The sequence below is a fragment of the Homo sapiens genome, chromosome 11, assembly GCF_000001405.40.
Source record: "Homo sapiens chromosome 11, GRCh38.p14 Primary Assembly".
Taxonomy (NCBI): Eukaryota; Metazoa; Chordata; class Mammalia; order Primates; family Hominidae; genus Homo; species Homo sapiens.
The window spans coordinates 109,418,134-109,433,907 of NC_000011.10; the positions used below are offsets into that span (position 1 = coordinate 109,418,134).

Sequence of the window (15,774 nt, forward strand, 5' to 3'; positions counted from 1 at the left end):
GCTTATCTATCATTGTTTTCAGTCCCTTCATCTTTCTAGTCATCTTCCTGTAAAGGACACTAATACTTATCAAATTTTTTTCTGAATTTTGATGTCCAAAACAATATAATGCTTCTATTGCCAGGGATAAAATGTCAATCTTAGTAATTTTCTTTATAATGTAATGGGCTACTATTTATTGAATGCTTGCTATATGCTCAGTGCTTAAAATAGCACTGCAAAAAATGATTCTATTATTCCCATTTTGCAGATGAGAAGACTGAACTAGAATAAAACTAGATAACTAGAACAAAGTCAAGAACTTCACTCGACCTTTATTATTTATTTACTGGGTGGGGCAGTAGTTAATAGTAACATGACAACATATAAGCATACCTCTGTAGGTATGCAGGGGCCCAGACTGGAGGAGATATAAGATTAGGCAAAATGTCAAAATCAGCTAAACATTCTCTGGAAAAGTCCCTGTAAATCTAAGAGGAGCCTGGCATATATCATGCTGCACTGTGATTTAGAATGACCTGCCTTAGTCAAACTAGACTTTGTTCAGTCCAAGGGAATCTGTGGAGATCCTGTAGACTGCTCCTGGTTGGAAGGAAGGACCTGAACCATGGGGATTTCCCATCTTCCCTCCTACACTTCAACCAAGCATCTCTGCTTTTCTCTAGCTTTACATAATTACCCCAATCAGAAGTAGACAGAGGTAAAATAAAAATAAAAATAAGTAAGTGTGTTTGAAAGAGAGAAACAGAAAGGGAAAGAGAGAAAAGCCATTAGTCATGAAAAGTAGTCATAAAAAGAATTCTGACTTTGGAATCAGTTTACCTGTGTTTCAGCCCAATAATATATGTGGTAATATACTTCTCAGTGGGTTACTTAGACATTGTCTTTAAACACTCTGAGCTTTAGTTTTTTCACATTTCTTATAGCAGGTACTCAGATTTTTGTTGAACAAATGAGTAAATGAATAATTTTGTATTTTGGCAAAAATAACCTTACGAGGTTGTAGAGAGGATTAATGCTAATATAGGGTTTACTATAGCCTGGTACATAGTAGGTGTTTTGCAAATAAGGATAATAGCTATTATTATTATTGATTCAATGCTGCTTAGATTTAGGTACAGGTGCCCATGTGGCACTTTTATCTAAGTTAGATCGAGATTCTTCATTAAACTTGAAAGCAAATATTAAATGCTCTTAAATATTTGGAACATGCTTATGTCCAGAGGGGCTTTCCCATTACAAGGGAAGATTATAGGAATCTCAGGAGCTTCTTGGTTCTCTACTCTTGGGAGTGTGGCTTGTGAAGTTTGGTGGCGAAAATAGTGGCAACAATGGTGTTGTCTGGAAGAAGCCTTGCCATTCAGCCAGATGTGCCAAAAATCATGTGGCAACTCAGTGGGATCAATTCCTGCAGTCCAAGAGGTGCCCATATTTGCTGTCATTGCTCTTCCTTGGGTTTAAAACACACTACCCAATGACATCCAAATCTACGTATTTAGTACATTTGTCCTCTGGGTAAGAATAAATTATGAACCTACTGCCTATTCTTGAAAGAGAAAAGACAAAAAAGGGTACTATGCTTTTGATCTGAAAACTAATGTCTTTAATCTACCTAAATCATTGCTAGTTAAATACCATTTTCTGGTGAATCACATTTATCTGCTGTAGAGTATAAGTTCTCCAGATTAAGATCTTGTCTTTTCATAGGGTGTATAAAATAATGCACACAGCTTTAGCACTCCTGGTATAACAGATGGCTATCATTTGTAACAAAAGAATAACATTGGAAGCCTTCTGACATGTCCTAGAAGCTTGGTGTGCAAGAAGAATCCCATTACATACATATTGTAATCCCATTACAACATGTTGTAAAGGTATATTCCCCATAGGGAAAGCCCAATAACTAATTCCTTCAAATCTAGAAAACAGACGACTGAGAGTTAATTTTTTTTTTTTTTTGAGATGGAGCTTCACTCTTGTTGCCCAGGCTGGAGTGCAATGGCACAATCTTGGCACACTGCAACCTCTGTCCCCCAGATTCAAGCCATTCTCCTGTCTCAGCCTCCCGAGTAGCTGGAATTACAGGTGCCTGTCACCATGCCCGGCTTTTATTTATTTATTTATTTATTTATTTATTTATTTATTTATTTATTTTGTTATTTTTAGTAGAGACAGGGTTTCACCATGTTGGCCAGGCTGACCTCTAACTCCTGACCTCAGGTGATCCACCTGCCTCAGCCTCCCAAAGTGCTGACATTACAGGCATGAGCCACCGTGCCTGGCCAAGAGTTAATTCTAATTGCATAAAAATTCTTTGCTTTACAAAATAACATTTTTTAAAAAATTTTTTATTTTTTGCTAAAGAGTCTCTTGAAATAGCCAGATCTCTTTTTGGAGAATCCAAAATTGGATTTGCTTTACAAAATGTTTATTAGACTCAACTTTTCAGGAGCAAAGCGAGTGTGAAAAAATGGGACATTGCCTGTCAGGCATCAATGGTAAAGTGTCACTTAGTCACAGCGTAAAAAATAAATAAATAAATAAAAAGGCTCACCATTCCATCCCCTAAGCCCACCAAAGTCAAATTGTCCAAATGTGGCAGGTGGCTATTGCAGGCATCTGGTGCTCTCATTCCAGTCAGGAAGGTGAGGCTAGCATTGGGGTGGGGGCGGGGGGCAGACATCAGTAACTGTATGACCCTAAACACAGAGTCCGAAGAAGGGACCCCCAGATTACAGACAGCCTTTCCTCCACATATCAGACCCTCTTTCTTTACAAATACAGCAAATACAAGCAGATAACTGGGCATCAGTCATTTCTGATGCATTGCAGGAAAGAGCAACAACATACACTGTATCATTCAATTTATCAAGTAAACTACAGGCACTGTGCTAGACTCAAAGATAGAAAAGAAGACAGGGAGCAAAGAAGAAAACGCACGTTTAGTAAGACACCTGAGTGCCTTCAAAGACCATGCAATGTCTTTAGGTACTGTTCCCAGCTAGCTTCTCCAACAGAAAAATGAGCATACTCCATTTCAAAGCTGGATTCTGTAACCAAATGCACTATTCATATTTTTCCAAGGCTCCTAAACCAATAGTTAACTAGTCTCTTCCAAGATTTAGGGAGGCTGTTGAATTCTTTTCTGGAAGTTCTATGTATTTTGCTAAAAGTTGTGCTCCAAACACTTTACCAAGAATTAGGGTCAATGAAGGGGTACTTTGTGCAAGCTACAAATACTTGGAATTTTCATAAGGCAGTTCATTTCTGCCTTCCTGTGAATAATTTCATATTTCTTCCTTGTAAGACTAGGGTTTGTGTGCTCATGAGTGTCTAGATTGTCAGAATAGAAGGAGTGTTTAATACATTGAGTGGGTCTGGGGCCTGGAGATGAAGATGTGAGGGATGCAAGAAGGAGGATCTTGAATCAGATGGAGCGAAAGATAACTTGGAAACTCCAGTGGAGAAAAATGGCTAATTTGGATTGTTTAATTTGTTCAGGTTTGTGTTTTGGGTTCTGTCACACTTATGTTGAGAAACGTCCCTGCCATCTCTCTAATGCACGCAGTTTATGTTCAGAAACGGGCAGCACAGAGAGGAATTAGCGGTGGGGGAAATTTTCATCACCACCGGTGATGTGTGCACCGATGGTAGATGGCTATCCAGAGTGTAAAAATGTGATTCTGGGACCAAAGGGTCAGCTCTAGAACGAAATCAGACAGCTGGAGAACTGAAGATTCAACTCTTCCTAGGCAAGAGAGTGAGAAAGGTGGGTTGCTTGCAGGGTGGAGGTAGGGGTTGCTCCTCCTAGTTCCTGGGCTGGAGAAGGGCAGGGAACTGGGAAGTGTGTGTCAGAGGCTCGCTATGCTAGGACAAGGTGTTGGGGTACTAGGGTGGGTGGGGGCCTGAGGGGTGGCTTGGAGCCCTGGCGGTGGCTGCCTGACGTCACCGGCCTCTCTGGCAATAGGCTGCGAGCTCAGCTCCCTGAAGCGGCGGCGAAGGCGGCGGCGGCGGCGGCGGCGGCGGCAGCAGCGCGGCTCGGTCTCTGGTCCATTCACTCCACGCTTTCTGCAGCCGCCACTGCAGCCGCGCGGCGGGGGCTCCCTCCTTGCAGCCAGCCGGCGGTCCAGGTAAGAGACAAGGTGTGAGTAAAGGCTTCTGATGGCCGGGTGGCCTGACGGCCAGGTGCGAGTGGGGAGGACAGCTCACGCGGCCTGAGCAGCCACCCCTGGCCATAGCTCCAGCCCCCGCCCCTGCCCCCGGCCCCTGCCCTGGCTTGCTTGCGCGCTACCTCGCTACTCCGCAGTGCAACAGTTTGCAGCTGCCTCTTGGGAGCAGCAAGGAGGCTCTCCTGTGCGCTGCGGGTCTACCGGCTCCAGTATGCCGGAAAAGCCTCGGGGCCTTTGGGCTGGGTCTGGGAAGGACAGAAAGAAGGTCCCGTTCCCCAAACTTTGCAGGCGGGAACCCTCCCCTTTCCATTCCAGCTCCTCTAGAAAGAAGCAGGCTACTGCCAAGTTGGGGGCACAGGGAAATGGGGAGGAGGGGGCCGTTTGTGGGAATGTGTCAGCTGAGAAAGATGCTTCAGCTGCTTTTTTTTTTTTTTTTTTTTTTTTTTGGAGAGGGGAGAATACCAGGGAAGAAGGCTGGAGAAGAGATGGAGCGCGTTCCTGCGCGTCAGCCGCGGTCGCGGACAGAGGCAGAGTGGGATGTGGTGCCAGGGGTATCCCCCTGGGAATGGGACCCAAGGGATCTGACGCTGTCCAGGGAGGGCGAGTCTGGACGGGGAGGGAAAGGAAGGGAGGACTGCGTACCCGGAGCCCGCGCGGCGGCCCGGAGTGGGTGCTGGGAAGGGTAGGATCCAGGCGAAGACATCAACCGAGAGGGCGCAGAAAAGAGGAGAGCCGGCGCTCTGGGAAGTAGGGACTTCAACCAAAGCGGCTGCGTGTCTGTTGCAATTATAAAGTTGTGAAGGGCGGAAGGGAGGCTGCCTTATCTGCTGAGTAATCTGCACCTCCGCGGTGCCGGCGCAGACCCCATCCTGTCGAGTGGCATGAGCAGGCTGCTGGTGGCTCTGGTGCACGGCCACGGGCCGGCAGGCTGGGGTCCGCTGACCGAAAATACAGGCAGCGCCCAGCTCAGGCAGTGTGCCCAGAGGGCCGCTTTGCGGTGGTGGTTGATCTTTCCCGACAGCACTCCCCTGGGCAGCGGCCGAGATTCTAACTAAGCTTTGTGTCTTTGCAGCCTGGTGCCTCTGCAAAGGAAAGGGGAGCGTGGAGACGTGTTCGAGGTGGTATCGGCGAGGATCTCTCGGGCGCCGCTCACTCCTTGGTCGCCTTGCTTGCCAGCAGTTGCTCCCTTAGTCCTTGGCTCGCTCGCACACCCCCTCCCGCTACAGGGAGCAGTTTTGGGTGGCGTGGGCTCCGTCCTCTTCTTGGCTGGTAGGAACGGTGTGCCCAAGAGGGGAAGCCTAGTGGGCCTGGCCCCTCCCAGCCCCGCGCCAATGAGTGCCAGGGCGCCGAAGGAGCTGAGGCTGGCGTTGCCGCCGTGTCTCCTCAACCGGACCTTTGCTTCCCCCAACGCCAGCGGCAGCGGCAACACGGGTGCCCGCGGCCCAGGCGCAGTAGGCAGCGGCACCTGCATCACGCAGGTGGGACAGCAGCTCTTCCAGTCCTTCTCCTCCACGCTGGTGCTGATTGTCCTGGTTACCCTCATCTTCTGCCTCATCGTGCTGTCCCTCTCCACTTTCCACATCCACAAGCGTAGGATGAAGAAGCGGAAGATGCAGAGGGCTCAGGAGGAATATGAGCGGGATCACTGCAGCGGCAGCCGCGGTGGCGGGGGGCTGCCCCGACCTGGCAGGCAGGCCCCAACCCACGCAAAGGAAACCCGGCTGGAGAGGCAGCCCCGGGACTCTCCCTTCTGCGCCCCTTCCAACGCCTCGTCGTTGTCCTCTTCGTCCCCTGGCCTCCCGTGCCAGGGTCCCTGTGCTCCTCCGCCTCCACCGCCAGCCTCCAGTCCCCAAGGAGCACACGCAGCTTCCTCCTGTTTGGACACAGCTGGCGAGGGCCTTTTGCAAACGGTGGTACTGTCCTGATCGTCTAGCCCCTCTCGTTCCCCGTCCTCGTTTCCAGCATCTTTGCCACCCTTGCTTTTTTCCTTCTTCCTTCCTTTTCCATTTTCCTCTGGCCCCTCTTTCCTCTTCCTGGTTTCCTTACCTGCCCTCCCCTTACTCTTGTTTCTCCTCCGCCGAGGCACTGTGCGGTATTTGTAAATATTGGGCGAGGAAAGTCTCGGAAGAAGAAATAACGCTGATAATAATACTTTATTAATATTTATAGTAATTATTATAATACTAATAACACAATCCAAGCGCATGACAAATCACATAATTTCTAACTGTCAATGGAGGATGCATCTTCCCATTCCACCCCGCGCTCCCCTCAATTAGGAGGAGAAACCGCACAAGCTACCAAATATATAAAAGGCATTGATTCCCGGAGCAAAGGGAGGGGAGGGGGCCCGGTAATGTACATAGCTGTCAAGTTAAGATTTAGTTTCCTTCCTTCCCCTCTGACCCCTAAGCTTTCACTTTTCCTTTAGCTTCCCTTTCCTCCCCATTCCCACCCTCAGCCGGGCTCAGGCAATAGTATATTATAAAGAAAATGTCTACATTAAGCACCAGGACTGCAAGAGGCCATAGAGAATAGTCCCCGGAAAGTGTTTATGACAGGTACCCCTCGCCAGTCCGCCCATTTCTCACCCTTTGGTTAACCATTACATTTTCCAGGACAGAGCATTTAATTTACTTTTTAAAATGACCCTCGCTGGCCGAGCATAAGTACGTTAAAATCTTTAAATGAGTTTTTTTTAAAAAGCTAACGCTTTCATTCCCTGCCCCGCCCCCACCCGTACACCTTTGACTTGTGACATTTTCAGGATTTACAAAGGATCTGGGAGCTGTCCAGCCAGGTCTGGTGCTGAAGTCGCCTCACCGTTCTGATTACTTCCTCTAGTTGTGAAGGCAGAGGAGGGGCTGTTTTGGAAAGTGACTATTCTGGCTTTTGGTTGGGTTCTTTCTTCTTTTTCTACAATCGAGTTAGCGTGTACTATTGGTTTTCTTATTATTAAACATTGCATAAGTTACCTTTTTTGTAAAAAAAAAAAAGTATTAGGTGATGTGCAGTACTGAAAGTGCAGTATCTAACCAACTAGAACGTTTGTTTTATTTTTAGAACAAGTGCACCTTTGTTATATATTTAGTATATTGGTACCAAATACAGAAAAAAACTATAGTTCTGTACTATGTCCTCCAAACTGTATATTATTGTTCTTAATTTCCAGCTGTTGATATAATGGTTACCACTGGATGAGAAATTCAGTGGTGCAGACCTGGCTTCTGCTGTTTCCAGAAGTGTTCTTTTGTACCTTATTCTGTAGTAGACTGTTATAAAAAGATGACACACACGCTTTATTTTTTCTTTTGCAAATAATAGAAAAAACACAACCACAGAAACAAACAAATAATGGATGTGCAAGAATGCCATCTATTAAAAACATGGTTAATATTTAAACAGTGCCTGTAGTTCTCCCTGCATGCAGTTACCACCTGGAGGCAGTGGTGTGTGTGCTTGCTTGTACTGTATGTGGTTGGGGATGAGACTGGTGGGGATGTTGGGCAATTTGGATGATAAGACATGCGAATTTCAAGAAAAGCTAGATCCAGTAATTACTTATAGGATACAAATGTTTGCAGCTTGTTTGTTTAGTTACAAATCTGTGCCTGCAGCAAAAGAAAGGCTCTCTTTCTCAGTCTGTCCTAACTTCACTGAACATACAAAAATACTGAGAAAAAAAGAAAGTGAGAAAATAAGATAAATATTTTATTATTTTCTAATGCCAGACAAGGCCATCTATGTTAGAAATGGAAGTAGTCTATAGTTATTTACCACCTTGTTTCCTTTGGTTGAATGACAGAAGAAGCCAGAAGCATATTACAATATTAATTATATGCAGTGACATCTCTTCTTGGAAATCAAGCCTTTGACAGCTATTCAAATTTTTGGAAAATGTATGAATGAAAGTGATCTGCAAAAAGCTCTACCAAGAGAGTCCTTACTATCCTGCAGGGTGTAAGGCAACAGTGCCCCTATGAGCATCCCTCTCCCAAGCAACTCATTGTTCTAAATTGTCTACTTGGTCCAGACATATGTGCTCTTATCCAGAGGAAACATTACCTCTAATATTTTTGGTCATCTATTAAATTGCCCAAGCTCAGTTTGCATCTTTTATAAAAATAATTTAATAAACTTAATTTTAATCACCCATAAGATAATCACCTTTCCTGAAGCACAGAAGATCATCATTGAAGCATGCCATCTTGTAATATTAGGAAGACCAGGTATAATCTTTGGGTACAATATATTAAACAATGAACCAGTTTTTCTCCAGTGCCTTAGTCACTTCCTAGTAATAGGTAAAAGAGTGCATTAACTCCCTCAGGCCACTAGGGAATCCTGTAGTGCATCAGAGTTCTACACTGTACATCAGAATGACTAAGGCACTGTGAAGAAGAAAGTCCATTGATTTTTGTAGCTTACCCTCATCCAGTGGTAGCTCTTTAATACCTTATTACAGAATGACTTTTGGACTTGAAATTTGAATAGAATCAGGGTCCCAGAAGGGAGCTTCATCATTTCCAATGAGCTCCAATAAGTGCATGGATATTACTTTCTTTCCCTTATTTGGTGCACTTTCTACAGCGAATAATTTCCCATTTTATTAAAGCAATAAGATGTTCTGTTGTGAGCAGTGCTGGATAACGATTCCATTTTCTTGGTGCTGAAGCTACGCATATGTTCTTGCCTTATGAATCATAGTATATTCAAGGCATGCAATAATAATCCCCTTCCAAGGAGCAGCCTGTACACTCTGTGGGGGTAATTATGAAATTGTCCTACATCATTTCTCCCCAAAGGAATGCAAGGAGCAAGAGAAATAAAAGCATTATGTATATTGTAAAACAAATGATCTCAATACCTCTCAACGTGGGCACACATCTGTAATACACTTTTATTGTGCAACTTTAAATGTGTGTGCCTTTCTCCATTAATTGACTGTAGTTTAATATTTTTAATAGTGCTCTGTGTAAAGATGATGCAGTTTGTGAGTCAGATTTCATACTGAGCTTAATATACTCAAAACCTAAGCTTCCAGTGGTATTACTTGTGATTTTTTTATGAGATAGAGAATTACATGAAATTCTAGTAATCCAGTTTCCACACAAAATTATTTCAATAAGCACATATCCAAGCAATTTGTACAGACCTTGTTTAAAGCACTGCTTCTTATAGGGCTCAATTGGCAGTCTCAGGAGCTTGGGATGCTACCAACAGGGCATTTAGGTTTTCATTTTTATGAAACAAAAGGCAATCTGGAAATAGCTAAATTTATTTTAAGGATTTTATTCACTGATGTCCCGTCAAACTAAATGCTTCAAACCCCTATAGCTACAGCTTAACTTCTGCACTTGCTATTCAGTATTAATAAGGTGGCATGCTTGATTCTTATTGTTTTTAAAAATGAGAAAATTTGGAGAGAGAATACTATTATGTCAACGGTACAAGACTCTGAATCTTGAAGATGTAGATGGATATAATATTTAGACTTTATATACACCCATAGATATGTATTTATATATGCATACGTTTTGTATAAATTTACAATTGACTTTTTGTATTCTCTTTTCTGTCATTACAAGAATGAGATGGAAACCAAAATAGTTGTTCCATCCTCTTACCCAAAGAGGATACTGAAAAGTCCGGTATGTGCATGCACTTGTTTCTCTGGGGTCAAATCTGAATGACTTTCTCTTTAATAATGAAAGGGGAGAGTCCTGGTTAGCTTGGAAAATTGGTAATTAGATAAGCTTCCTTTCCTAGGTTAGTGACTCAAATGTAGCAATGATAATAAAGTTATGACCATATCAATGTGGTCTAAATATCTAGATGGAAAGCAAAAATATCCAGAAGAGGTTTAGGGCCATCTAGACCACAAACCTGGAACCTGGATTGTGGTTTGATTTTTTTCATTTTCAACCTATATGTTGTGTAGAAATACAATTTATATCTGCATAGCTAAAGGTAAAGTGAAAATATGACCATTATCTGTTTAGTTTGAGAAATCATTTTTGGATAATATGGATAAATTAGCTTTAAGAAACTTCTTTGACATCTGACTTTTCCACCATTTCTATCTGTATCAATTGTATTAATTAGATAATGGTTAAATTTTTATTTTTTTATCATGTAGACATATGCTTTCATGCTTTTCTGTGGGTGAAAGTTGAACAATTGCTAGCTGATATTATGTGGAAGTTACAGGTTAAAGTAGAACCAGAAATTTTAATATAATCTGATCAGGTTCCTTAGTCCCATTCCCATGTGAATCTGAACTTTGAATTTGAATCTGAAAGGCCTACTTATTTGGGCCATTTTTTGTTGGAACTTGTGATTGTAACTCACAGATGTTTCAGTTCATATTAGAATAAATTGCCCAATCTATAAGAGAGTGTTTAATCATTGGAATGAATGTAAATCTGATTCTGATTTGGTTATTTATTTGATAACATTTGAGAAACAGCTAATGTGGCTTGACATCAATACTTATTAATGTCTTCAACCTAATAATACAATTGGTGTCATGTATGAATGCTTAGCTGACAATAAGAATTTAATCAACTTTATTTGGAGACAATGACTTATCAAGGAGGTCCTACCCATTTGTGGTAGGGATATTTCCCTTACAGTTGTGATTACAAGGGATTGTTTCTATAGAGAGATGAACAGCAACAACAGTGACAATGATGACAACAGAAAAACTGACTTTTGAACTTGAGTATATCCAATAGATAGAAGAAAAAAGATATTAGAATTCATGGAAATTTTGTTTTGCTTTTCTATCAATAAAAGAGTTTTCTTGTTAATTGGCTTTTTGGACACTATTTCCTTGCCAATTTAATGTACAATATACCAGGATAACATAATTGCTTATTCTATTATACTCAGATGCTCAAAGAAATTATATTGTTTTCAAAAAATTTTTATAACTCATCTGCTCTTCCTCACAAACCAACTACATCTTAGAAATGGGATGTGTATAAAATTTAGGACAACCCAATAAACAGTCCAGTATAATAATGTAGCAGCTCCTTTACACAGATGCTCAGGATCTTGAGGTCATATGCTTAAATTCTCAGATTTCCTCTTGCTCTGCCTCTACTTCTCTACTATAATATAATCAGGTATATTAGGAAGGGATGTGGCTGACATGATTCTGTGCCAGTTAGGGGAAAGGTAGCCTCCAACTTCTGTAAATTCTGAAGGATCCTAGCTTAACCCTGCTGAAAAGGATCTGCTCCCTAGTTTGAAGTGCTATTGTCCTACTGGCTTTTGTGTTGACATTTACCACAGCAATTTTACACCGTGGACCTTTGCCCTCCATCTCAAACTCATACATCCTGACCCCGGCCATCTATAGGTCCACAGTGCTCTCACACATTGTCCCCTTCTTGGAGATTCAGGAACTTCTGGGTGCCCTGCATGCCATGGACCTACTGGTGAAAAGCTTGGGTCTATCTTGGGATTATTCATCCATCCACCTCCTCCTCCACCTCAATTCTGCTAATCTTGCTTCGTGTTAGATGGTGCCATGAGGGTTTCTTCTGAGGTCTTGAGACCCACAGTAATATATTTAAAGGAAAGGAGTTTGCCATTTATCTCCAATCCTTGAGCTTCTCCAAAGCTGTTTAGATGTTTTCAAGGCAACATCACTCCTTTTGGCTCCTAAATATGTGTGAAGAGGAGCATGAAAGCTTTAACGGCCACCTGCCTCACTTTTCTCTTATTTTTCTCAAAATTGTCCCAGACTGCAAGAAGCAAATATTTCCCTTAATGTCTACTTTTCTCTACCTAAGACTTCTTCTACTATGGTTAGTTTCCTGCTTCTGCAATGGACTTAATCATCTTCTTCCTGATGTCAGCATTATGATTAACTCTTAATGGCAGTTGGACAGGGTGTAAGAGACAGAAAGGTAAGCTTATTAATAAGGGATCCTAAATCAGGACATATTTGGAACATATTATGCCACACACCATAATAAATCTCCATATTCCTACAAGGGACATGTGCTCATGATTAAGCTCCTGCCCTCCCCTTTTCCATGAAGGTGGGAGCTTGATTATCTTACATTTATTTTCATATTCTACTCAATTCCTCTGAATTGGCTAGAAAACCTGATTACTAAACCTTATATCACTATTTGTCACTAAGAAGGCACAAACTCTTCCAAATACTGGCCCATTATTTCACCCTATCCCTCACACCCTTTAGGAGCTGCAGATAGTGTGTAGGAAATACTTCTCTTGAGCTTGGATAAACTTCTAGTGGATCTTGAATACTGGAGTGGAGATGAGTAGTTACTCGATGTAAAGGCAGCAGCAAGTAAAGATTGATGATACAACCCTATCCCTAGCCATTGTCCTCTTTATGCCCAGTAGGTATATGTGCTCTAACTTCAGCTGTTTGGCTCAAGAGAGGGATGAGTAGTAACTCAGCTAGCTCTTACAAGACTAGCATGGTTCCATTCCCCACCTCCTTCAATCTCTCTGGGTGGATTAATTTATGAAATATTAGCTGTGTATTCTCTTTCTGATTAGTTGTTGAAATCCAATCACTTCTTCCCAAAATACCATCTCCAGATATGTTCCAGGCTTGAACTGATGCTGATAATATTGGGTTTCCCTCTCTCAAAAAGTGGCTCTACTTTTTAAGACTTTAAAGAAGAAGAAGAAGCTCTTGTGATAACCTTTCTTAACCCCTCTTTTCTAACTTATGCTGAATATACTCTATGTGCATTTGCAAATCCTCTCTCTTCTTGGATCATGACCTTAACTCAGGATTTTAAATTTTAGCCTAGAGGTTTGTAGTCACTTTGTGGTACAAAATTTTCTGCACATGGAATCTCAAAAATTTAGGAAAGCCGCTACTAACCTCAATGTATTTAAGTGGCAAAAATGCATTGTGATGACAAAAATACTCTTCACATACAGATGTGCAAAACAAATGTGGCTATTTTATTTTCCTATAATTTATCTTATCTTCCTCACAGGGACCTATTTGCTTGGTAGTTCTCTTAAGAAAGTCACCACATTATCAAATTTTCTCTTTCCTGTGCCCCTTTCCAAGGCTGTGTCTGGGTATAATTTATGTTATCTCATGGTGGCAGAGGAAAAAGCCTCCTCAGATCTATGCAGAGTTAAAGGAATCCTCGCTGGTTCAGCTGGAGAGTGGCCAGTCTGGTTTGCTTCCCAAACTGGTGGCTGCTATGCTACAGCAAGTCCTATCTTGTACCCCCAGATGGAGCCTAGGATCCTGGACAATTTTCCAGAATCTCAAACTTTGAGTCTACAGTGACTTTTTGTTCCAATTGAAGAATTTTGCTGTTTTACTGTATTCTAAGCATCCCTGGGCTCCTTTAACTGCGACAAATGGGAATTTCTGGGTTCCATTCAGATGATAGAAAACAAGAAGCCTTCTAGTAGCCTACTGCCATGACCATCATCCCATTGCCACTGCCTTCTTGTTGGAAACAGGAAAGTACAGTAGCTCTCCCTATTAAGGGTTCCCACTAGTAGAGACACAGATACTTGCTAAAGCCCTTACTACCCTCAAAGTACTCTGGCTTCCTGATCCTATCAGAATGCTTGTTATTGGATCCTTCTGTATTGCAACTTTTCTCTGAATCAAGGGGCTTGGGGAGGAAGAGTCTTACAATTCATCTTCCTCAATCAATATTAGACTCCTCTCTCTTCCCTCCCCAAATTACCCAGGACTGGAAGGGATAGACTTTTCTGTGTAGTCCCTTAAGGATTTCCTTTAGTACAAAGGTATAATCAGACAGGAAGGTGTAGATTTGGGGCTTTTTGCTTTCTACGTACCACATTCTACACATTGACTGTAGCTTCACAGCTGTCTTAAAATGGAAACTAGAATGTGGAAGAGAGATAAATGAGCCTACATTGGGAGGCATATCAGAAATATTTTGTTAGTTACACTTGTATATACATAGATGATTATTTCGAATTGCATGGTAGGAATTCAATGACGACAGAAATACACTGTCTCTCCCTTTGCTTGCCAAAGTATGAACCCTTAATTCAGTAGGAACTAAGTTAAAAGCTTAGTTCCTGTGATTAATGTTGTAGTCTCCTGGCAAGCACCCTTGAGAAAGATCACAACTGCCAGCAGTCTTTGCACCTCCATATGGATCAGCCTTTTTTAGGGATCCCCTGATGGAAAGGAGAGGAGGAAGTGCAGGTCACTCAGTTCCAAAAAGGAGGAAAGAACAAAGAAAGGAGAGGCAGAGAAAGGCTCACTTCTCTACCTTTGCCTTGTGGAAAAAGCTTCCCTGGGACAGCCTTCCCACACCCACCATCACAAGTTTTCCTGTTGGGAGGTGCATAAAAGATTATGATCTACAAGTGGAAATTGGCCATGCTGTGTGGCAGGATTATTTTCAGGGTCTACCTTGGTTAGTTCTGTTCTTAAAGTTTTAGGTAGTTTCATTTCTTTGTCCCAGGGAAACTGTCCTATTACTGACAGTTGTCAATCAGCCTACAGTCCTTGCTGTTTGACCACATTCTGATAACTAATTAGCTAATCCTTGCTTGATCACTGACTAGGTGTCATTGACTGATACATATATCTAGTTGAAGAGATAATCCCTTTGAACACCTCATCTCTAATGTTGAGAGTTTATTCAGTCAACAGATATTTATTGTGAGCCAACTATATGTCAGGAATCATTTTGTCCCAGAAATGCAACAGTAAACAATGTAAGCAAATGTCCTGGCCTCATGGGGGTTTCTTCTAGTGGAGAGAGACAATAAACAAAATACTTAAGTAAGTTCTGGAGTACATTACAGAGAGAAAAGTGCTGTGAAGACAAAGCAGGGAAGGAGGGGGTATGGATTTTAAATAGGGTAGTTAGAGACAGCCTCTGATATTTGAGCAAAGACTTGAGGAAGCCATGCACATGTGAGGTTTAATTGAATAAAAATTGTTTGTATAGAAGAATTTTTGAAAACTAATTTCATCCAGGCTCCTAATTTTATAAATGAGCAAACTGAATTTTGGTAAAAAGAAGGCAAAAATACTTATGCTTATGGAACATTGTGTCAGGTACTGATACTCCCAAAGTAGAAAGGAGTGATGAAATCTGCTGGTACTTTGAGTAGTTTGTAGTGTAATTAACCAATAAATTTTAATTTGATTCAAATGTGGTAATAAATGTGTGAAAAAGTACTTCGAAGCACAAAGAAGTAACAACTAAGTCTATCTGGGAAGGTTAGGAAAAGGTTTCCCATATTTTAGTTGGGTTTTGAGGGATAAGCAGCAATTCACCAAAATAAGAAAAAGCATTTGAGGCAGAAGAAAAAGCACATACAAAAACACAGAGGTATGAGTATTCTGTATATTTACACAAGTGTTATGCTGTTCATACTGGGATTGTCAAAAGAGAAATCTGAAAAGTAAAAGTAAGCCAGATCATTAAGGGCTCTGCAAGGGCAGCTTTTAAAGATATGCCTTTTCTGTTGTTGGTGAGGAATTAGTGAGAAATTTTGAATATAGAGTTGAGTTATAGATTTGGGTTTATTATAGACTACTCTGGGGGAGGATCACTGTATGGAAGAGATAGATGGTGATTAAGACACGAAT

At 41.9% G+C, this 15,774-nt stretch overlaps 1 protein-coding gene across 3 annotated transcripts; it reads left to right on the top strand.

The window, feature by feature from the left end:
* The first annotated feature begins 4,056 nt into the window (after positions 1-4,056).
* On the top strand, positions 4,057-11,034 carry C11orf87 (chromosome 11 open reading frame 87). Of its 3 annotated transcripts, none has more exons than NM_207645.4 (2): positions 4,057-4,130; positions 5,242-11,034. In NM_207645.4, the coding sequence occupies exon 2, from the start codon at positions 5,501-5,503 to the stop codon at positions 6,092-6,094; it is 594 nt and encodes a 197-aa protein (NP_997528.2). In that variant the 5' UTR covers positions 4,057-4,130; positions 5,242-5,500; the 3' UTR covers positions 6,095-11,034. The 3 variants fall into 3 exon arrangements, with proteins under 3 accessions (NP_997528.2, XP_011541120.1, XP_011541119.1); XM_011542818.3 differs by lacking the exon at positions 4,057-4,130 and adding an exon at positions 4,305-4,434; XM_011542817.3 differs by lacking the exon at positions 4,057-4,130 and adding an exon at positions 4,646-4,916.
* The last annotated feature ends 4,740 nt before the right edge of the window (positions 11,035-15,774 follow it).